The 22,855-nt window shown below is 38.3% G+C and overlaps 1 long non-coding RNA gene across 1 annotated transcript, besides 2 other annotated features; it reads right to left on the minus strand.

Annotated features, from left to right (window-relative positions):
• Nucleotides 1,334–2,533: an enhancer, noted in NCBI's record as "BRD4-independent group 4 enhancer chr3:25893740-25894939 (GRCh37/hg19 assembly coordinates)". NCBI's record gives its function as "activates an origin of replication core promoter dependent on BRD2, P300/CBP, MED14 and CDK7 cofactors, and independent of BRD4, by STARR-seq in HCT116 cells {active_cell/tissue: HCT116}" and the evidence as "EXISTENCE:reporter gene assay evidence [ECO:0000049][PMID:35650434]".
• On the minus strand, nucleotides 7,617–22,780 carry LINC00692 (long intergenic non-protein coding RNA 692). Its single transcript, NR_034055.1, has 8 exons — nucleotides 22,726–22,780; nucleotides 21,400–21,567; nucleotides 20,886–20,981; nucleotides 19,100–19,220; nucleotides 12,370–12,464; nucleotides 12,073–12,138; nucleotides 9,776–9,837; nucleotides 7,617–7,883 (listed from the first exon to the last, which is right to left on the minus strand). It is a non-coding gene; the product is annotated as a long intergenic non-protein coding RNA 692 (long non-coding RNA).
• Nucleotides 7,741–8,700: an enhancer, noted in NCBI's record as "NANOG hESC enhancer chr3:25900147-25901106 (GRCh37/hg19 assembly coordinates)". NCBI's record gives its function as "activates a minimal SCP1, AML or CMV promoter by ChIP-STARR-seq in naive and primed H9 embryonic stem cells {active_cell/tissue: H9 hESC(naive and primed)}" and the evidence as "EXISTENCE:reporter gene assay evidence [ECO:0000049][PMID:30033119]".
• Nucleotides 22,781–22,855: the final 75 nt, after the last annotated feature.

Here is a 22,855-nt window from a genome sequence, read left to right on the forward strand (position 1 = left end):
CCAGGTGCTGGGGACATAACAGTAAACTAAATAAAATCTTGCTCTCATAAAACTTACATTCTAGAAGGGAAGATAGACAATTAATAAATACATAATGTTAGACAGTGATAAGTGCTAGGAAGGAAAATAAAACCAATGAAATGTAAGGAGATAGAGAGTGATGGGGAGTATTATTTTAGATGGTATAGTCATGGAGGGCATCCTTGAGGAGGTGACATTTCCACAGAGATCCAAATAAGGTGAGTAAGCCATTAGAATATTTCTAGGCAAAAAGAACGCCACATACAAACACTCCTGGGCAAATTTCTTGGTGTGCTTGAGGAATGTCAAGGGGGCCAGTGTAGATGGAGCTGCTGTCAGCCAGGGGAAGAGTAATAGGAAATAAGAGTAATGGGAAATAAGATCCAAAGGGTAGCCAACTACCAGATCCTGTAGGGTTTTATAAACATAGTGAAGACTTTTATTTTAAGAATGTAGGAAAGCCATTAGAGGGGTGACATCATCTGATCACCTCTTAAGAAGCTCACTGTGGCTGCTGTAGGCACAGGGGTTTCCAGCAGAGGTACCTGTTAGGAGGCCATTGCAGTGATCCAGATAGATGAATGATGCACTAGGCTGGTAGCAGTGGATATTCTGAGAAGCAGTTGGATTTGGATAATATTTTCAGTGGTAGAGGTGAGAGATGACAGCGTGCTGGCAGCCGTCGCTGGCTCTCGGCGTCTCCTCTGCCTGGGCTCCTACTTTGGCGGCACTTGAGGAGCCCTTCAGCCTGCCACTGCACTGTGGGAGCCCCTTTCTGGGCTGGCCAAGGCCAGAGCCGGCTCCCTCAGCTTGCAGGGAGGTGTGGAGGGAGAGGCGCAGGTGGGAACCGGGGCTGCACACGGCGCTTGCGGGCCAGCGCGAGTTCCAGGTGGGCGTGGGCTCGGCAGGCCTGGCACTCGGAGCGGACCCCAGCCCACAAGCCCCGGCCAGTGAGGGGCTTAGCAGCTGGGCCAGCAGCTGCTGTGCTCGACTTCTTGCCGGGCCTTAGCTGCCTCCCCACTGGGCAGGGCTCCGGACCTGCAGCCTGCCATGCCTGAGCCTGCCCTCCCTGCCGTGGGCTCCTGTGCAGCCCAAGCCTCCCCGACTATCGCCATCCCCTGCTCCATGCTGCCCAGTCCCATCCACCACCCAAGGGCTGAGGAGTGCAGGCGCACAGCAGGCAGCTCCACCTGTGGCCCCGGTGTGAGATCCACTGGGTGAAGCCAGCTGGGCTGCTGAGTCTGGTGGGGACTTGGAGAACCTTTATGTCTAGCTAAGGGATTGTAAATACACCAATTGGTACTCTGTAACTAGCTCAAGGTTTGTAAACACACCAATCAGCACCCTGTGTCTAGCTCAGGGTTTGTGAATGCACCGATCGACACTCTGTATCTAGCTACTCTGGTGCGGACTTGGAGAACTTTTGTGTGGACACTCTCTGTCTAGCTAATCTAGTGGGGACGTGGAGAACTTTTGTATCTAGCTCAGGGATTGTAAAGGCACCAATCAGCACCCTGTCAAAATGGACCAATCAGCGCTCTGTAAAATGGACCAATCAGCTCTCTGTAAAACAGACCAATTGGCTCTCTGTAAAATGGACCAATCAGCAGGATGTGGGTGGGGCCAGATAAGGGAATAAACGCAGGCTGCCTGAGCCAGCAGTGGCAACCTATTGGGGTCTTCTTCTGCGCTGTGGGATGTTTGTTCTTTAACTTCTTGCAGTAAATCTTGCTGCTGCTCACTTTTTGGGTCTACACTGCCTTTATGAGCTGTTAATACTCACCTCGAAGGTTTGCAGCTTCACTCCTGAAGCCAGGGAGACCACGAACCCACCGGGAGGAACAAACAACTCCAGACGCGGCGCTCAGTCTTAAGAGCTGTAACACTCACCGCGAAGGTTCGCAGTTTCACTCCTGAGCCAGCGAGACCACGAACCCACCAGAAGGAAGAAACTCCGAACACATCCGAACATCAGAAGGAACAAACTCCAGACACGCCGCCTTTAAGAACTGTAACACTCACCGCGAGGGTTCGCGGCTTCATTCTTTAAGTCAGTGAGACCAAGAACCCACCAATTCCGGACACGGAGGTAACTTCTGTTCGTTGTTTAAGACAATTCAAAGGCTGCTTTCTCAGAGATATTTCCTGAACTCTTCCTCCTTGCTGAGTTGAGTTTCTCTCTCCTGTGATCACCCAAGCAGCCCTCTTTTACTTTTTGACATAATACATTTTATTAAGTGATTTATTATGTATCTGCTGTATCTATGTGGCTGCGAATTCTTTTTTAAGGCCCAGGTCCATGCCTTTTTTCTGTCTAGTGCCTGGCACTGTACTTGGACATAATTGGTGTTAAATGAATGATTGTTTAATAGACATATAAATCAAAAAAATTAATAGGAAATAAAATTGGGAAGAAGAAAATGGATAGGGAGATAAGCTGAATCTAGTGTCACATCATCGGTGGTTTTAATTTTGGTGGAAAGCTTTTCTGAGACTCAAAAAGCCTGGATGTGTTTGGTGGTCAGCCTTATCCTTGTGGTCTTCTTGTATCTCTATCAAACAGATGGAAAAATTCCCTTCAAGTAAATAGGATCTGAAGACAACTTCTGTGTCCAGGAGTCTCAGAAGTTAATATAACAAATTTATGAATATGTAACTTCTGAAATTTCATAAAATCACTTTTAAATTTTCTCTGCGTTTGAGAGTAGATACTAATTTGAAGTTTATTGATGGTGGAGGGATAATTATAGGCATGCCATTTATCTCTCAGCTCCTCTGAAACTGAAGCATTTAAATAATATGTTATATGTTTATACAGCCTCATATCCCATGTGTCAAATTTTCTTTTAATTTGAATATAAAATATAGAAGATAAAAGTGTCAAAATGATCTTACCGGTTAAATCCTTTTTATTGTTGTTCATTTTCATGTGGTAATGCCCTAAAAGGAATAATACGAACATGGTTTTGAAATGCAAAAGGAAGAGTAGCATGAGCAGGTTTTGAGCCAAGTGGTGAGCTACCAGAGACCAAATTATTCTCCGGGCTTTATTATTAGCTGACTTTGTGGATTTGACCAGGGAATATGGAGTAAAATAAAAGCAAGCACTATCAATAATTCATTCAATCACAGTCGATAAATTAACAAACAACTGCCAAAAGAATGGTATTTGCATCAGGCATAATAAGTACCAAGTGGGGGGATTCCATCAGCTGGAGATTAGGTTCCATTGAGCTAACAGAAAACCCAAGAAGAGGCTATTTTTCTCATACAATGAGAAGGCCAGAGATAGGCAATCTAGAGCAGTAATTGTGGCTTCATGTAAGCTCTTTCTGGCTCTGTTCTGCCATCCCTTAGAAGTATAGCTTTCATTTTCATGGTTATGAGATGTCTGTTCTACCTCTAGTACTGTGTTTGCATTCCAGATATTTTTCATGTATCTTCTAACAAGCATAGTGCCTAGCTCATAAGAGGTACTCAAATATTTATTTAATACATGAATAAATGGTGAGTCAGTGAAAAAAAATCTGAAGTTGTACAAAAGTGGAAGCTCAGTGTTCCAAATTATTTAATAGCCTGTCATTATCAGATGATCCGAGCAATTTATTTTTGCATTGTTACAGGCTGTGTTCTCCAGAAGTAGACAGTAGACCCTCAGATGTAGTCTGGTGTTCAAGATGTTTGTTAAAGATCAGTATCTGTAAAAGGAAAAGAGTTAGAAGCAGTATCAACTAGAGGAAAAAGCTAACATGCAGTGCAAGCCCAATGAAGCCTCTGTAGGTAGCTTTAGAATAAGCATTGCCTGTTAGACTGGTCTTACATTGGGTTGAAATGACCGAGTTTCCATATCCCTACTATCTCCTATCCCCTGACACTCTGCTTAGTCATCTGATGCAGGCTGCTCTGGGAAGAATGTGAACTTGAGTGAGGTGGCTTTCTGCAGCTAAGACTATGAAGAAGCTGAGAGTAGGAGGCTGCCTGGTGACTGCACTCCCCACTGCTGGGCGGGAAGTCCTTTCTTGAAGTGATCTGAGTGGCAAACCTCCATATCTGCTATAGTATGATATTTCACATATCCAATAACCGATGTCACTTGTCATGACACAAAAATAAAATGACAAGATCCATAAAAGAAAAGGAAAGAAGAAAGAAGGAGGAGGCATAATGAGAGCAGAAAGCTTAGCTCAAGGAAAGTGTCTTAATCAAGTTGGGCTGTTATAACAAAATAGTATAGACTGGGTGACTTAAACAACAAACATTTATTTCTCGCAGTTCTGGAGGCTGGGAAGTCCAAGATCCAAGATGCCCACACATGTGGTTCTTGGTGAAGGCCCTTTCCCTAACTTGCAGACAGCACCCTTCTTGCTGTATTCTCACATGGTGGAGAGAGGTTTCCTTTCTTGAGGAATAGCACATATTCACGAGCTTCCTTCATTCTGTCCTTTTTGAATGTTTCCTCTAGTCTCAGCTGGCAGTGTTTCTGCTGATATAATCCCATCTATTTTCTGGCTTCTGTTGACATCACTGATTAGGTCTGTGATTCACACCCACACTAATCTCCTTATCAAATGATTGGTCAGACACATGCTTGGTATTTTCTTCTGAACATGCTTTTTCTTTTTTTTGCAATATAGACAGGCTGGGCATTTTCCAAATCTTTAAGTTCTGGTTCTCTTTTGCTTAACAATTCTGTCTTGATGTCATTTCTCACTTTTTGCATTATACTCTGAGCAGTCAGGAGGAACCAAACCAGTTTTTCAACCCTTTGCTTAGAATTGTCAGCTAAATATCCAATTTCATTACTTGCATGTTCTACCTTTCACAAAACTCTAGAATAAAAACACAATTCAGAATAATTCTCTGCCACGTTATAACAAATGTTGCCTTTTTAAAAATTGTTCGATAACTTGTTCCTCATTTCTGTCCGAAACCTTATCAGAATGACCTTTACCATCAATATGTGTACCAACAGTATGTTGATGATTAGTTACATATTCTCTGGGAAGATGGAGGGTTTTTTCTTTCACTCTCCTCTTTTCTTTCTGAGCTCTCACTAGAATCCCATTGAGCAGTACCTTAACAATGGTCTCGAATTGTTCTGGTATGCATCTGAAAACCCTTCTAGCCTCTATGCATTATTCAGTTCCAAAACTGCTTCTGTGTTTTTAGATATTTGTTACAGCAGCACCCCACTTCTAGGTACCAATTTCTGTCTTAGCTCTGGGTACTATAAAAATACCATAGACTGGCCCGGTGCGGTGGCTCACGCCTGTAATCCCAGCACTTTGGGAGGCCGAGGTGGGCGGATCACGAGGTCAGGAGATCGAGAGCATCCTGGCTAATAGGGTGAAACCCCGTCTCTACTAAAAATACAAAAAATTATCCGGGCGTGGTGGCAGGCGCCTGTAGTACTAGTTGCTTGGGAGGCTGAGGCAGGAGAATGGCATGAACCTGGGAGGTGGAGCTTGCAGTGAGCTGAGATCGTGCCACTCAACTCCAGCCTGGGCAACAGAGTGAGACTCCGTATCAAAAAAAAAAAACTATAGACTGGGTGGCTCAAACAGCCAAATATTTAATATATATATATATCTTTTATATATAATATATATATCTAGTGTCTCTCTATATACATATATATACACATATATATACAGCAAGGTGCTGTCAGTTTCCATTCTTGGTAAGCGCCTCTGCCTAGCTTGCAGACAGCCACCTGTATCCTGATCTGTCTGCTTGTAGTTGTAGCCTCACATGGTGGAGATGGGAGGACCTCTTTTTAAAAGGGCACTAATCCCATCATAGGGGTTCCATTCTTGTGATCTCATCTAAAACTAATTTTCTCCCAAGGACTTCACCTTCTAGTAGCACCACATTGGGGGTTAGGGCTTCAATGTATAAATTTTGAGGGGACGTAAACCCTTTGTTTCAATCCATAACAGAAAATGATGGCTATTGATGTTGGAACTCAGCATTGACTTTGCCTATATAAATGCAACATCGTTAATGAACGGTTCTCAATGGACAGAAGTCTCTACTTGGGCAAAGTGGTATAACAGCAGCAAGTACTATTTAAAACTGATTTGACTGGAAGGAAATGGTTTATAAATGGGATTTCTAATGCAAGTTGCTGTTTTGGCTCTGAGTATGGAATCTAAGCATTGCAATCTCAAATAGAGCCCCACCTTGTGGTTAGTAGAGGAAGCTGCTCATCTCAGGAAATGAGTGGTTAGCTTTCTATTCTTTAATAGTGTGGGCTGAAGTAGATGTTTTCTTGATTTTTAAAAGCATATGTTTTTTGAATTTTATTATTATTAATTATCTTCACGTGGATACATAGCTGATAAGCAGTGCTTGATTTTATGACCCTTTAGCTTTGCCATTTGTTTCCCATATGCCCTCTTAGAATGTCCTTGGTATACAGTCCCCTCACCTGTATGTTATTTCTGGTCACTTTTTTACTCTCAGATGACTCCAACTAATCAATTACTGAGCTGAATTTGGCTCAGGGAGTATTTGCCTTTCAATAATGATAGCCTCTTGATAAAGTAAATGCCTTTAGGACCCTAGGGAATGACTCAAAATAGTGTGTGCTGGACATTTTGGTGTAAGGTGGGAGAAATATTTTGGACGGAAAGAAAATCAGGAAGAGAGGTGCCAGACTTATTTAAATCTAACTCAATCTATACTATCTTTATAGGAAATTAAAAATATAATACAATTTAATTAATTATGAGCATAGTCTATTTTTTGTTTCCTTTAATTATTGCAACTAACACATTTTCTCTTTTGCCAATAAAGGAAAACAAAAATATTTCACTCCAAAATATACTTCAGTGACATATTTCAAGAGGGTTATTCAGAGGGCCTACGGACAGGAATAGCCCTGAAAAGCTGCCTTTTGTGGAAGAAATTTGCATCTGTAGAGAAAAATCCACGTTAGTGAAATAAATACCCAGACTTTCTCTGAGGCCCTCCCCCTTATCCAGATCTAGAAAAGATGTACTCAACCACAAACTACCATCTCTTTTTTTCTGAGAGCTGCTGTCTGTGAGGTTTCATGTACACAACAAGCCCACCTTTGCCCCATGCCTTTCTTTCTCCCTCCTATAACCGTCTTGCTACACTCCAAGCCCATGTTTATTCTATAATCTCAAGATGGTGTAATGGCGTTAACCACCTGGCCCTTTCTTTGAGTTTTCACATTTTGTATTACTTCCATGCACATGTGTGTGCAATAATAAATTTTGTTTGGCTTTTCTCCTAATAATGGGCTGTTTGTCAGCTGATTTTCAGTGAGCCTTCAGAAGGCGAAGGGGAAGTTTCCCCTTGGCTTCTGCAGTTTTGTTGTACTGCAGGATACAAAAAGCTCTACAGTTTTGTTGTAGAGCAGGATAACCAAAACCACTCTGCTCCTCTGGATGTCACATCAAGGGAACCCAGGATCTGACACGCCAGCCGTAGGGTAAGAATATCTTCCCAGTCAGATTCCCAGGTGTCTTTCACGAATCCTGTTGAGAGGTCGGTAAAAATCACTATCTCTTTTTCCTTTTTCAAATTAAGATTAATGGGAGAAAAGCATTTACAGTAGTCTTAGATGAAGCAACTCTAGTTTATTTTTTAGTGTAAATATTCATATGTTTGGTCCTTGTGCTCTTAAAAGTAATGGTAAAACCTGCAATTACTCTTGCACCAACCTAATATCTCAAACTTCTCAAAGTTTAAGAGTGACTCTAGGACACCTTCTTCCATTTGCTATGCCTCTCCTTTTGCCACCTTCAGTCTCCCATCTAGTTTCCTTAAGTGATTGATACGTTCCCCTTCAAGACGATAATTCCTCCATTTGGTAGTCACTGGATGAAAAACTGAAGAAAGAAAATAAGAGAGTTTCAATTACCACATAAACAGATCTAAAAGATATGCTAGTGACTCTGGGACCCCTTGAGGAATAAAGCCAACGTGCCAGTTTTCATGTGCGTCTGTGTGAAGAGACCACCAAACAGGCTTTGTGTGAGCAACATGGCTGTTTATTTCACCTGTGTGCAGGTGGGCTGAGTCCGAAAAGAGAGTCAGCGAAGGGAGAATAAGGGTGGGGCCGTTTTATAGGATTTGGGTAGGTAAAGGAAAATTACAAAGGGGGTTTGTTCTCTGGCGGGCAGGAGTGGGGGGGTCACAAGGTGCTCAGTGGGGGTGCTTTTTGAGCCAGGATGAGCTAGGAAAAGGACTTTCACAAGGTAGTGTCATCACTTAAGGCAAGGACCGACCATTTACACTTCTTTTGTGGTGGAATGTCATCAGTTAAGGTGGGGCAGGGCATATTCACTTCTTTTGTGATTCTTCAGTTACTTCAGGCCATCTGGGCTTATACGTGCAAGTCACAGGGGATGCAATGGCTTGGCTTGGGCTCAGAGGCCTGACACCAGTGACCCCTTTTGGGGCCGCCTTTCTTTCTCATGGAGTCCTGAGAGTTATGAGTTGATTTGGCCCTATTCGTTAATGGATGTTGCCCTGAAATCAATGACCCAGTTAAGAAATTGAAACTAATTTTAAAAGCCACCTATTCAACTAAATCCGTCTCCAAAGTACATATTTATGGCATTTCACTGGCTCTTTAAAAGCTCTTTGTGAAAGAAATTTCTATCTGTAAAGAAAACCTCCATTTGCAAGGGCACCTTCCTCTCCGTATCTAAACCATGAGAAACTTTTACAATGAGAAAGGCAAGTTTACATAACAAACCTTACTTTTATTTAATGTACTTTTCCTGGCTATCTTTCCTTTTCTGTGCATTTACCTAAGCCCCTCTTTGTCTTGGTGGATAATTATGTTTAGATCTATGTTTTGTGTCTTTGAGATATAAATTTTTTACCTTGTTCCACCTAAGAGTCATTCCTTTAGAAGTACAAATTTGGGGTTGCCTACCTGTTTTCTTAGGGGAGTAAAATGAGTAATCACAAGATTGATCTGAATTGGGGAAAGCAAAACTATCGGGAAGCCAGCAAATGAAGAATCTTAATGAAAGCTATAAGATCTGCTTCTGTCTTTGTGTCTGTCTATATGTCAATGTGTATTATGTGTATATGATATTGCTATGTGATCTGAGATAATCTTTGGAAAGTAAAGCTAGTTTAAAAACTGTTGGTAAAATAAAATAGGAAAGTCTTCAGAATTGTCAGTACTAAATATAGTTTAGACGTTTTTGCCTGGATCTACTTTCAGATAGGTATATGCTGTCTCTGCTACATGTTTTAACATCATACGACTGCTGCTTTTATAGTATTTTTTGTACTTGCTTGATTTGCCTGTATGCTAAAGCAATAAGGGCTGGCTTCTGGGCTCACCGGAAGCTTTGCACACATCTTACTGTGAACTTACGTTTCTGATTTTTGGTCTCTGGATTCTGGGGTCTGGGTAGGTGGCCATAAGCAGGCCTGGGGACATATGTGTGCCTGCAGCACCTGGGCTACCAGCTACCATCTTCAGAGCTCTGTCCTCTGTCCTGGGCTCTACCTCTGATATATAAATCTAGGACCCAAATAGGTGCTATCCTTCATAGTCTCTTTGGTGCCACATGGTACACAGGACTCAGGACAACTGGGGAAGTCATGGGGTAGTGTGGTATCTGTGTTATAGTTTCAAAATTATTTTTAGTAATTTAAAATCTTAAAGTCATGTTGTATTAGTCCATTTTCATGCTGCTGATAAAGAGATACCTGAGACTGGGTAATTTACAGAGAAAAAAGGGTTTAATGGACTTACAATTCCATGTGGCTGGAGAGGCCTCACAATCATGGCAGAAGGCAAGGAGGAGCAAGTCATGTCTTACATGGATGGCAACAGGCAAAGAGAGAGCTTGTGATCTTTTGAAACCATCAGATCTCATGAGACTTATTCACTGTCAAAAGAATAGCACAGGAAAGACCTACCCCAATAATTCTATTACCTGCCATTGGGTCCCTCCCACAACATGTAGGAATTGAAGATGAGATTTGGGTGGGGACACAGCCAAACCATATATGTTTAATTAAGTAATAGATAATTATATGTCTAAGTCATTTCTAAGTAAGTTAAACTATGAAAACATTAATTATTAAATATAAGTTTATTTACTTTGACATCTTATTTTGCTAAGGTATAGAAACACTAAATATAATTAGAGCTGTTAATAAACAAAAAATTGAGAAAGAATATCTTTCTAAAAATTATAAAATGGCTTTCACCTTTAAATACTGATATAAAACAGTCCAAAATTACTCATTTCCTAGGTTTCGCTAGAAATTAGCATTATTGAGTTAAGATTAAATATATATAATTATATATATGAGAATATATATAATTATATATGAGAATATATATAATTAAATATATGAGAATATATATAATTATATATATGAGAATATATATAATTATATATATGAGAATATATATAATTAAAACTAATGAAATAAGAAATAATTCCATATGCAAAGTGTACGAGAAAAGTAAGGTATGTTTTTGGTGAGGAAAGTTACAGAGGCACGAAGATTGTGTTTATTGAGAATGAAATAATTATGTCTAGTTTATGGGTTATTTAAAGATTCTAAAGGACAACATGATATTGATAAAACTAAATAACAGTTTCTGACAGCCCCAGGAACCTCAAGAGATTTTGGGGGTCTTCAGCTAAAGAGGAGTTCACCCATCTCTCTTCTTTTTCTTTTCTTTTTTTTTTTGAGTCAGGGTCTTGCTCTGTTATTCAAGCTGGAATGCAGTGGCACAATCACAACTCACTGAAGCCTTGGCTTGTGTGCTCAAGTGGTCCTCCCACTTCAACTTTCTGAGTAGCTGGGACTGCAGGTGTGTGTCACCACACCTTGCTATTTTTAAATTTTTCTGTAGAGACGAGGTCTTGCTATGTTGCCTAGACTGAGTTCACTCATTTCATAAAAGTGTTACAGACACAGTATTTGGCTTTGCTTGTAAGCCTCAAGAGATTTTTAAAAGTTAAATCCAAAATTCCTTATTAAAAAATTCCAGCAAAGCCAGCTTAAAAACAGCCTATATAGCAATCACTGTTCTTTCTATACTTTATGCAAATAGGCCAAGTGTAATAAAACTAAACTTATTTTGTACATAAATTGGTCTTACTATGATTTCTCTTTGTTAGAAATGGGGTACTGGAGACAGGAAAACTATGTTTCAGAACGATACCTATAGTTCATCTGTTATTAGGTTCTGGATCTTTTTTTTTTGAGATTTTATTATTTACCTGCAATATAAACGAAATCCTAAATTTCTAGTTTCCTCAAATATATGACTGTGACTCTGTAGACTAACATTTCCAATTTTTCTTTCTCTCCTCTAACCTAGAATCACTAGAAATTAAAACTGTGCTTTCCTTAAAGCCCTGCAAATCGAAACTAGACAACTTGATAAAAACTTCAGAAGAAATCACTACAGCTATCTATCTTTTTCTTTTTTCTTTTCTTTTTTTTTTTTTTTTTGAGATGTAGTTTTGCCCTTGTTGCTCAGTCTGGAGTGCAATAGTGCCATCTCAGCTCACCACAACCTCCGTCTCCCAGGTTCAAGTGATTCTCCTGCCTCAGCCTCCCGGATTAGCTGGGATTAAAGGCATGCACCATCACGCCTGGCTAATTTTGTATTTTTAGTAGAGACAGGGTTTCTCCATGTTGGTCAGGCTGGTCTCAAACTCCCAGCCTCGAGCTATCCGCATGCCTCAGCCTCCCAAAGTGCTGGGATTACAGGCATGAGCCACTGTGCCCAGACATAGCTGTCTGTCTGTCTGTCTGTCTATCTATCTATCTATCTATCTATATTTGGCCTTCATGCCTGTTGATGTATGGACTACTCAGAAGGTTCACTAGAACATATGATTTGAACTACAATCTACAAAAATCTGTCCGATTGCCATGCCTGCCCAATCCAACTGAAGGTGTTTTAGAGACTTGAGAAAAACTAGTTTATAGACTACTCTAGACATTAACCTTAGTTTTTCCTTTGTTTCCATAGACATACCTCTTACTAACAGACATCTTACTTACAAGCATATTACTTACAAACATCTGTTTGCCTGTATCATATGTAGAGACTTGGCTTTGAGATCCCATCTGCAATGCCACCTCCTGGAATGGGGCACAAGTGTTTAACTGAACCGACTTATAAGAGACTGATTCAAGAAGGTATCAGCTGCTTGGTCTAATGTATGCTTTTTCCCCTTCCCCTTTGCCAGTCTCTTATCTCACAACCTCTGACCCAAACCTCTTCATAGCTACCAACCCCATTTTAATATGTGAAACTTTCTAAACACGAAGTTTCAAATGGGGGGACTAAAGAAAACCAAAAATGTTTTGTACCAAAATATACTTCTTGAACATATTTTGAGATGGTTATTCAGAGGGCGTGTAGACAGGAATAGCCCTGAAAAGCTGCCTTTTGTGGAGATTTGCATCTGTAGAGAAAAAAACCACATTAGTAAAATAATAAATCCAGGCTTTCTCTACGGCCCTCTCCCTTACCCGGATCTAGAAAAGATTAACTCAGCCACAGGATACCATTTATTCTTTCTGAGAGTTGCTAGTTGGGAGATTTTAACTATATAATAAGATTGCCTTTGCCCCACGCTTTTGTTTCTCTCTCCTTCCCATTACCAGTCTTGGCATGCTCCAGCCCCCTAACCTCATGGCATGAAAGCATCAACCAGCTGGCCTTTTCTTTGAGATTTTACATTTTTTATGACTCCCATGCACATGTGTGTGCATTAATAAATTTTGTTTGGCTTCTCTTCTGTTAGTCTGCCTTTTGCTAGTTGATTTTCAGTGAACCTGTAGGGGGCAAAGGGGAAGTTTTCCCTTGGTCCCTGTAGCAAGGGACAACTGCATGAGCAGTCTTAGAGATATCCAAACATGATCATAAAAGCACCAGTAAGAGGGGAAAATAAAGTCATTTTGGCATTGGCATTTGCAAATAAAAATATTATTAAAGACAATAAAATTTTTTTCATGATAGCTTATGTATTTTCAACAGTAATCCTTTGTTTTTAATGAGATGACTTTGTTTTGATTTTGTATTTTATCATTTTTATTGTTTTATGTTGTTGTTACTGTGTATTATTGCTTTTGAAGATTCTGAATCCTGTATTATTTGGGTAGAATTTATCATCAAAAGCTAATTGCTCTTATTAGAAATGCACTGTTGTATTTTGCTTTGGGAAGGAATACTTTAATAAGGCTCTGCAAATTTTTGAAGACAGTTTACTTCCAGCCACTCAAAATGTGTTGTCACATTTCTGACCTCCTCTGACAGGATTAAAACCTTTACACAGATAAAATAAATAGAAATATGCCTCTCTTCTTGAATAATTTGCATTTTAATTAACAAATAATTGTTTTCTGATTATAAAAATAATGCAACTTAATTTGTTATAGAAACTGAAAAACAGAACAACACACACATACAAAGTAAAAATCCTCTATAATAGTACTACCCAGAAAGAATCACTGTTAATATTTTGGTATACATCTGGTGAGTGTCAAACACAATTATTTAGAACACTAATATTCTCTTAGTACATACTTTTTAGTGGTTGCAAATAATTTAAAAATATAAATGGATCAACTTTCTTTAGCAGTTTCTATTTTTGTACATTATCTTGTTTTAGTTTATTTTTTCAGACCTCAAGAATACACTTGTTTTAGCTTTTATAAATACTTTCATATAAAAATATGAATGTTTATGGCTTTTAAGCTCTAACTTTTTCTTAGAATACATTCTTAGAAGTGCAAATGTTGGGTCAAAGAGTACATGAATTTTTATTCTTTGATACATGTTGAGTAACGATGTTATAGAAAATGTGTTAACATTTTGCACACTCACTTGCAATATTTAAGAAAGTACATTTTCTAACACCTTCCATAATCCTGGGTATTGTCATTAAAAAGAAAGTGAGAGAGAAAGAGCAACTTGCAGTTAGATAGACAAATAATGAAGTTATTAGTAAGGATGGGCAGAGTTTTCATAAGTTTATTTGGCAAATGCATTTTTCTTTCAGTTCTTTGCCCCTTTTCTGTTGTGTTTAATCTTTTCTTATTGTTTGATTTTTTTTTTTTTAGCTATTAAGAATAGTAATTCTTGTACACTGTTGGTGGGAATGCAGATTCCCAATAGGCATTATGAAAAACAGTATGGAGGTTTCTAGAGAAATGAAAAACAGAACTACTATATGACTTAGCAGTCCCTTTTGTAGGCATGTTCCCAAACAAAATGAAATCACCACCTCATAAAGATATCCGCCCTACCATGTTGATTGCAACATTATTGGCAATAGCTAAAACATAAAAAAACCTAAGTGTATGTCAATAGACAAATGGATAAAGAAACGATGGTATGTATATACGATGGAATATTATTCAGCTCTAAAAAGAATGAGATCTTGCCATTTGCCACAATGTGATGAACCTGAAGGATATTATGCTAAATGAAATAAGCCAGACTGAGGGATAAATATCACATGATCTCATTCATCTGTGGATCTAAAAAATAAAAATTCAAATATATAGAGACAGAGAACAAAAGAGTGATTACTTTGGATGGGGAAGAAATGGGGAGATGTAAGTCAGAGGATACAAAGTAGCAGATATATAGGATGAGCACATCTAGAGATCTAATATGCAACATGACTGTAGTTAATAAAATTGTACTGTATTTGGAATTTATGCTAAAAGAATAGATTTTAGCTGCCCTTGCCATAAAAGCAAACAAACAAAAATAGGTAACTATGTGCGATGATGAATATGTTAATTTGTTTCATTAATTTGCTTCATTAACATATTCATCATCACACATAGTTACCTGTTTTTTTCCTGTGTATCCCATAGCGTCATGTTATATATCTTAAATATATTAATACAATTTATTTTAAAAAATAGTTACTGTCATATATATTACAAATACAGCTTCCAGTTTAACTTTATTTTTGCTTTATTTGCCTATATGTAGCATATATATATATATATATATATATATATATATATATATATATATTTTTTTTTTTTTTTTTTTTTTTTTTTTTTGAGACAAGAGTTTCACTCTGTCACCCAGGCTGGAGTGCAATGGCCCAATCTCGGCTCACTGCAATCTCTGCCTCCCATGTTCAAGAGATTCTCCTGCTTCGGCCTCCTGAGTAGTTGGGACTACAGGCATGTGCCACCATGCCTGGCTAATTTTTTTGTATTTTTAGTAGAGATGAGGTTTCACCACATCAGTCGGGCTGGTCTCGACTTCCTGACCTCAAGTGATCTGCCTGCCTCAGCCTCCCAAAGTGTTGGGATTAGAGGAGTGAGCCACTGTGCCAGGCCTATTTTTTCTTTAACATGATGCATCCATTTTTTCTTATTTCTTCTTTGCCATTGAGTTTGAATATTTTCATTCTACCTGAGGCCAGAGTTTTCTCTTGGAAATTCCGGGCCCGAGCCAGTAAATAGGGCAGCATTTTTGGCTTGTGAAAGTAGGTGAGTAGAGACACTGCACTGACCTTTCATGGTTCATAACCTGGATCCAAAGGGGTTATGTCTCATCTCCACACTTTGACATAGTGTTAAAAAAAATCAGTGCCTCATGGTTTTTCATTAAGCTATTTTAATAGTCCTTAATGTTTTTGCCAAGAATTTCATGCCAAGTCTAAAAAATGTAGGATAATCATGTGTTGGAGAGAACATATACTTTGGAGTCAGATAAACACACCTGAGCTGGAATTTTAGTTATTCTACTTACTAGCTGGTGATCTTGGGTAACTTATGGAAATTTGCAGTCACAATTTCTTTCTCTGAGAAAGGGGATTGATAATACTTGACTCATCAGGTAATCATGATGTATTAGCATGCATTTTTCTCCTTCCTTTCTCTTTTCTTTCTTTCCTTCCTCCTCTCTGCCTTCCCTCTTGCCCTGCCTTTTCTCTGTATTTCTGTTGCATTAGTAAATGAGTGACTAATAACTTTAGTCTTAGAAGTTATTCAGTAGATGAAAGTTTCTCACTAATCTTTTAGATAATAATAATATCTCAGGTTTCTATTTGAAATTCTTTTCAGTGCATCCAAGATTATATATCTTTGATTTTTCAGAATTAATGTATTACCTTTCTCTTACACTCATTGAAGTAAATAAGTTGGCATTTTATTCCTGTCACCTTGGCTTATTCATACTCCAAAGATCTTTGTTTATCTGCAAATGTGAGGCTTTTCGAGCATTCACTGTTCATGTAATTTATAAAAGCGTTAAATACAGAACCCATCAGTATCCTGGAGAGATGCTGCTCAGATATTGTCTTTTGTCCAGGGCAATTATTATTTTTCTGAAACTAAGTAAGCAGAGAGTATTAGAGACTCTTTCTGGGGTATCTTCTCAACTCACAAATGATTTTTAAACTGCCTTTTTGCCCTACAGGGAGGGACCCCCAGCAGCCATATTTGCACTGTGTGATTCCTTCCCTTCTGGCCATTGCCGATTGGACCAGAATAGGTTGATCAGATGGTATCTTCTGGAGTGAAAGAACTGGAACTAAGGATTTTTAACTTTCTTTAGTTTGGCCTTTCAAATGGAGGCAAAGTAAACCTAGGGTTGGGAAGTGGCCATCGTGCATATTTATGTAGCCTGAGAAACAGCAGGATGGGAATGCTAGGAGATGAAACATGCTAAAATAAGGGGCTCAGCCTTCTGGAGGCTTCTGAGGCCTTGATTCTTGTCTCTTTTGGAGGCCAGATTACATTTCTGCGTTTGGAGTTCATGAGCTATATCTTCATCATTGTGATACATTCTCATTTTTCTTAATGTAGCCTTAATTAGCTTCCCTCACATACAGTTGAAGCGAACTTTACCTTTTTTCTTTTAGCTCAAATATGTAATATTTGGTAAGTCTTTATCTGTCTCCTATTAGCTCTCCATATTTTACTTCTAGAAAATACTCCTAAATGGAATTTCTCTTTCTCCCATTTGCCACAAACCACTCTTTCCATTTACAATGATTCTATAAAACAAAACAGAACCATTTGTACACAAGATAGAACATGTCCAATTTGGATTTGACTCCCAAGAACATTAATCTTACTATTAATCTTTTGATTAATGTCTAAAATTAATCTTTTGACATTCTATTGGTATATAGTTGAACCAAACTATTTTCATATCTGCTTTTAAAAAAGGGCATAGGAAGGAAGGCAAAATCTTGGAGATTGCTTATATTTGGTTCTCCTTGTATGGCTTCCTGTTCATGTTTTCTAAGCCCATTTTGCACACTTGTGCTTTTCATAACCATAGGAACTATACTTAGATTTACATTGTCTGATGCTTGCCAAGTCCAGGTTCAGTTCTTTGAGAATTGTTAGTCCTATTTTGAAGCATCCTATAACTTTGCTGCTCTGATCATAGCTTTTTAAACTAATGGACTCTTGACTCAAACTGGATATATTTGGATTCTTTCTCCGAGGGATTTAATATGATACAATAGGGATGTTTGTTAGTTGGAGTTGGGTGTTAAAGCTGAAAGGTCATATCAAACTGGGGCTCTGTACCTAGGGCAGTTGTGATCCACTAGCATCTTGGAGCTAGGCATGCCTGTATTCATAGAAAGAATATTTTAAAAGACTGTACATAGAGAAGCTGAGATGAGCTATGCTGTATAATAAAGAATTTGGTCTCTGTCTCAGGTTCCTGGCACATATCTTCTAAAGCTCTTGGAATTTCCCAAGTGATAGAGTTGTTGAGTCCTTTGGTTCACACCTGAGTTTATGCTAATTAGATGACTCAAGATCAGTTCTCCAATCACTTTAGATGGGGGCTGGATACCAGAAAGACCAATAACATGATTAAAAGGTGACTCCTTTGAGGCAGTCTGACCTCTGGGGAGGGGAGAAAGACTGGAGATTGAGTTGAATCACATGGCCAATAATTTAATCAATCATGCCTACATAATGAAACCCCAATTAAAACTCTGGACACCAAGTCTCAGGAGAGGTTCCTGACAAATGAACACATCAATGTGATGGGAGGTTGACCTGTTCTGTCTATGGGAAGAGAACATGCATGCTCTGTGTTGGGGACCCTCCCAGGCCTTGCCCTGTGTGTCTCTTCATTTGGCTGGTCCTGATCTGTATCCTTTATAATAATAAAACTTTAATCATAAGTAGAGCACTTTCCTAAGATCTGTGACTTGGTCTAGAAAATTATCAAACCTGAGGCATTTGTGAGAACCCCCAAATCTGTAGTCAGTCAAAGTGCAGGCAGCCTGGGGAACCCTGATGTTCAGCTGGAGTCTCAAGTGAGAGTAGTCTTGTGGAAGACTGAGCCCTTAACTTGTGGGGTCTTTGCTAACTCCAGGTAGTTAGTGCCAGAATAAAAACTGCAGCATACCAGTTGGTGCCGTAGAAACTATAATATAGGTCTAGAGAATCAGAAAGAGAAATTTCAAGTTCTAATGTTCCGACTTCAGTGTAGAAATTAACTTCTACAATAAAACTCTCCAAATAAAGATTTTTTGAGGAAAACATTATTTTCCTACTCTACTGTCTTATAAAGCTTCAATCATGGCAGAGTTTACAGGTCTCTAATTTTTCTCCAATTCATATTTCGACCTTAAAGTCTTAGTGGTTCTTTGTCTAAGCCCAAATTAATCACACTGTTAGAACATGAGGGCAGGAATGGACCCACAAGATCATTTGGCTAATTCCTTATGTTTTCACAAATGAGGAATCTAAGAAATAGAGAAGTGAAACATCTGGCATAGGATCATATTAATAATTACTGGTAAAATCTGGATTCAAATTATCTTTCTTATTTTCTAATTCAACAAATGTAATTTCACTTTTCAGCAACATCTATTGACTAAAGCTTTATTTTTTTCAGTGTTATAAATGAAAGCAAACTTTGCTGTCATGAATTTTTTATAGAAAAGGATATGGCTGTGAGTTGACACTGAATCTCACCAGGGAAGCTCCTTCCCATGTGAGGCTGCCTCACCAGTGTCTGCCTTTGGGGCCTGGTGTTTGGGTAATAACTGCTTTTAATAAATGAATTCTTAATATAAATTGAACTCACTTCTTTTCCATGACTTTGCTTTTTTGGTTGACTTTATTTCTTGGTGAATCTTTGCAAACATTCATTTTCTGTGAGTCAAAATATCTATTTTGCTATTTTTTCTCTGCTGTCTATGGATATCCTGAAAAAGGAGAGATTTTATTTTATTTTTTGGTATAAGGCACTGAGGTATACTTTACACGGTAAAATTCACTCTTTTAGGTGTATGGTTCATTGAGTTTTGACACACATATACAGTTTTGTAATGCCACATCAATCAAGTTATAGAATAGTTCCATTACCCACAAACGTTCCCTTGTGTCCTTTGTAGTGTATACTACCTTCCTACCCCAATTTTTAGATAAACAAAAATAGACTTTATTCCAAAATTACCAAAGGAATGTCGGAGGACATAATTCAGAAATCAAGAAATATCTAGGATGTTCATTATTATTTCTATTTTTAATTTCTTTCATAACTTTAAACACATTTAGTTTATAAACTCAAATAGTTGTATCATGCCTAATCTTTAGGTTGTGAAGTTTTCCCTTTTTTTGGTATGCTGTCTCCTCCTCATGGTGATGCATTTCCCTGTGTAATTTGCAATTTTCTATTGTGAGTTCATCTTTTCCCTGTTGTTTCTATTGTGTTGCCAGTGTCTGAGTCACCAGTGATCTGAAAGCACCCCTTGAAAGTGGTATTATTTACTTCTGTCAGTACTGTAGATGTTTCATCAGTTCCATAGATGTTTCATCAGTTCCAGACCAGTTTTCTTATGCTAGTTTCTTGGCTTAAAATTTCTGCCCCATGAAGGAAGTGTAACTTTGATTCTACATCCACATGTAGGGCAAACATGGGTTGCTAAATTGCTTTAAGACAACTTTCTATTTTCCCATCCTGAAGGCAAGTTTCCTTGACACTTTGCCTCCATGGGGACAGAATCTTTCTAGTTTCTTTAGTTTCATGAATTGGCTGCTTGGACCTAGTTTCTGGCTCTCTGCAAGAGTCCTGGTTCTAACATCACTCTCTCCACCCTGAGCCTGATTCAGCCAAGATACTAACATTCAAGCTGTCATCCTCTAGATCCTACATTTGGGTCCAATATCACTCTGCACTGTCAGAGCATCAGATAAAGCTAATACTTTTAAGCCATGTCTAGAACCTTTGTCTTAATAGTTGATAATGGGAAGTTGTCCCATATTGGCTCATTCTAACATGTATTTAGATGTGTCCTTGATAGTTTTTCTTCAGGGAATCTTATTTTCTAAGTAGTTTTTGCCAATTTTTTAAACATTTTACTCCTTCTTTCATATATATTTGATTGCCAATATAAAATAATCTGCTGTTTTTACCTGTTTTTAACTTGTCTCTGTGGATTGACATACAATTCTGGCTGGTTAGTTATCAGTTACAGACAGTTTTAATTTCTTCACATTTTCATGTAGATTAAAAGGGGTTAGGCCTAATATTGGGCTCCTTCATTTTCTCTTGCATTTTATAAATTGCAGAATATCTATTTGCCAGAGATTCTCTTTTGATCTTTGCTTTTATTTGTTGCTTTCCCTCCTGCCTGCCTATGCAGGCAGTGAAATGTATTAATTTTAGATTAATATTACTGCAGTGAAATGTATTCCTCAAAGATTACTGCTGAAGTTAATTTGTGTACAGTCATTACTTAATCTTCAGCATGGTCTATGTGCTCTCTGATTTAGTGCAGTCCACATTCTATTGTTGCATCTTACATGATGCCTGCAAATACTTTTATGCTTTCATTATATTAGAGATTGCAGACTTTTAAAAAATTTACCTCTAGTGTTCCCATAAGATGGTCACACTGTAGAACGGAATTCACTTTTTTGTTTAATTTTAGCTGTCAGTGGAGAACCAGGCAATTGACACACTACTGAAAAGAAAAGAGAATTAGAACAACTTGCCTGGAGTTAAAGTCCCTTAGTTAATGGATAAGTCACCAACACACAGTTCTTTAATAGGCAGAAATTTCAAGTCACACTGCAGACCATTTATATTTCTATCCTGTGTTGTATCCATATTTCATGTAAAATATGAAGCTAAGTTGGCAGAGATTCGTGTATCCACACTGAAGGTCCATGTTTGGCAAAAGACTATACCGATGGCATGCATGCTTTAATTGATGCCATGAAATAGCCCTTTACAATTGGTACTGTTATTCTAGGGCTGCTTTTTCTCTTTATACAAGGTGGGACCATGCTTTCCAAATAAAACTCAGCATTCACTGACTTATAGAATTGTAGTTTTGAGAACCACGCTCAAACATTGTCAAAAAATTCTAGGGCATGTACCTTTTAAAATGATCTGTTGTGTTCTTTTCACTTTCCATTCTCTTTTGGTGCATGCTGCTGCTACTGTTTGCTGTTAAATGGTTGCTGGTTTCACTTCAGATGGGTGCAGGTTTGAGTTAACGAAGGTAAAAGCTAGGTCATTTGAGAACAATATGACTTTTCTGAAAGCTAAATCATAGAGAAACTGCCAGATATAAAAACAGATAAACTATACATTTAAAAACTCATTTTAATAAAAACATATTATGATAAAAAGATAATTCCAGTCTGTTTGATTCTAGAGTCTATTCTCTTAATTATATTGTTAAGCAACAAAATGGGGAAGGAAGCAAACTTAAGTTGAACTTTCTGAGCCTGAGTTTCATTTTCTATGAAATAAGGATAGTAATATCTCATTGAATTGCTGTGGGGACTAAATTAGATAATGTATGTAAAATGCAAAAGACAATCTATAAATGTTTACTTCTCTCCTGCCGTCCATCTAGCTCAAACTTGCACTAGAGGTGATTAGGTATTTAGAGTTCAAATAACTGAGTTGTGATGTCAGCAAAATCAAAATTAAGCAGACTGAATTTCCAGATGTGTCCAAATGTCAATGAAACCAATATTTAAGCAGAGATCTACTGGACTGCGCTGTAACTCCATAAGCCTTGAATAATTGAGGATTGACTGTAAACTGAGGATCTGTGTTCTGCATTATGACCTTGCATTAACAGAGACTAAACAATTGAAGGTTTGGAGGTAAGTGAAATAGCCTGGTGCCTGTAATATTTCAGGAGGAAATGCAACAATATAACAAGCAACACAAGTACTGATATTAATTGAGAAAGGTCTCATTTATCTCTCTGGAAAATTTCTCCCTTCAAATGCCACTTATCACGAGAGTGTGGATTCTCTGATGTATTTTAGTGATCACTCAGTTATCTTCAGTACTTGCTCTCCACCCTGGTCTTATAATACAGACTTTTCTGCGTTTTCAGTTGTTCCAGGCTCTAGTCACATCTCAGTTATGTGCAATAATAGTCATTGTGGAGTTGCTGCAAATCAAAATTTCCCAGGTAATACCAAGTCTCATTTAACTTCCAGAGCCATCCATCACCAAACATTTTATTGGAGAACCAAAAAGGGTGGAGTAGGGGAGCTGAGTGAATTTCTGAGTCTGCTGGAGTTGATAACTGTAAGTGTCATGGCCCCAGTATTACTAGCCATAGATAGAGATAATTTAAAAAATCATCCCTGTAACCCTAGGTACTGATTATCTATTGCTACATAGCAAGCCGCCTTGAAACACATGGCTTAAAATAACAATTTATTTTTATATCTCACAGTTCTGTGGCTTAACTGGTCTCAGCTTGGCATCTCTCTTGTAGTTGAAGTCAAATAGAGGCTAGGGCTACATTCGTCTAAAGGTTCAGTTGAGTTGGAATGTGGCATGGCTGGCAGTTGATGATGACTG

This window comes from Homo sapiens, chromosome 3 (genome assembly GCF_000001405.40).
Source record: "Homo sapiens chromosome 3, GRCh38.p14 Primary Assembly".
Lineage (NCBI taxonomy): Eukaryota > Metazoa > Chordata > Mammalia > Primates > Hominidae > Homo > Homo sapiens.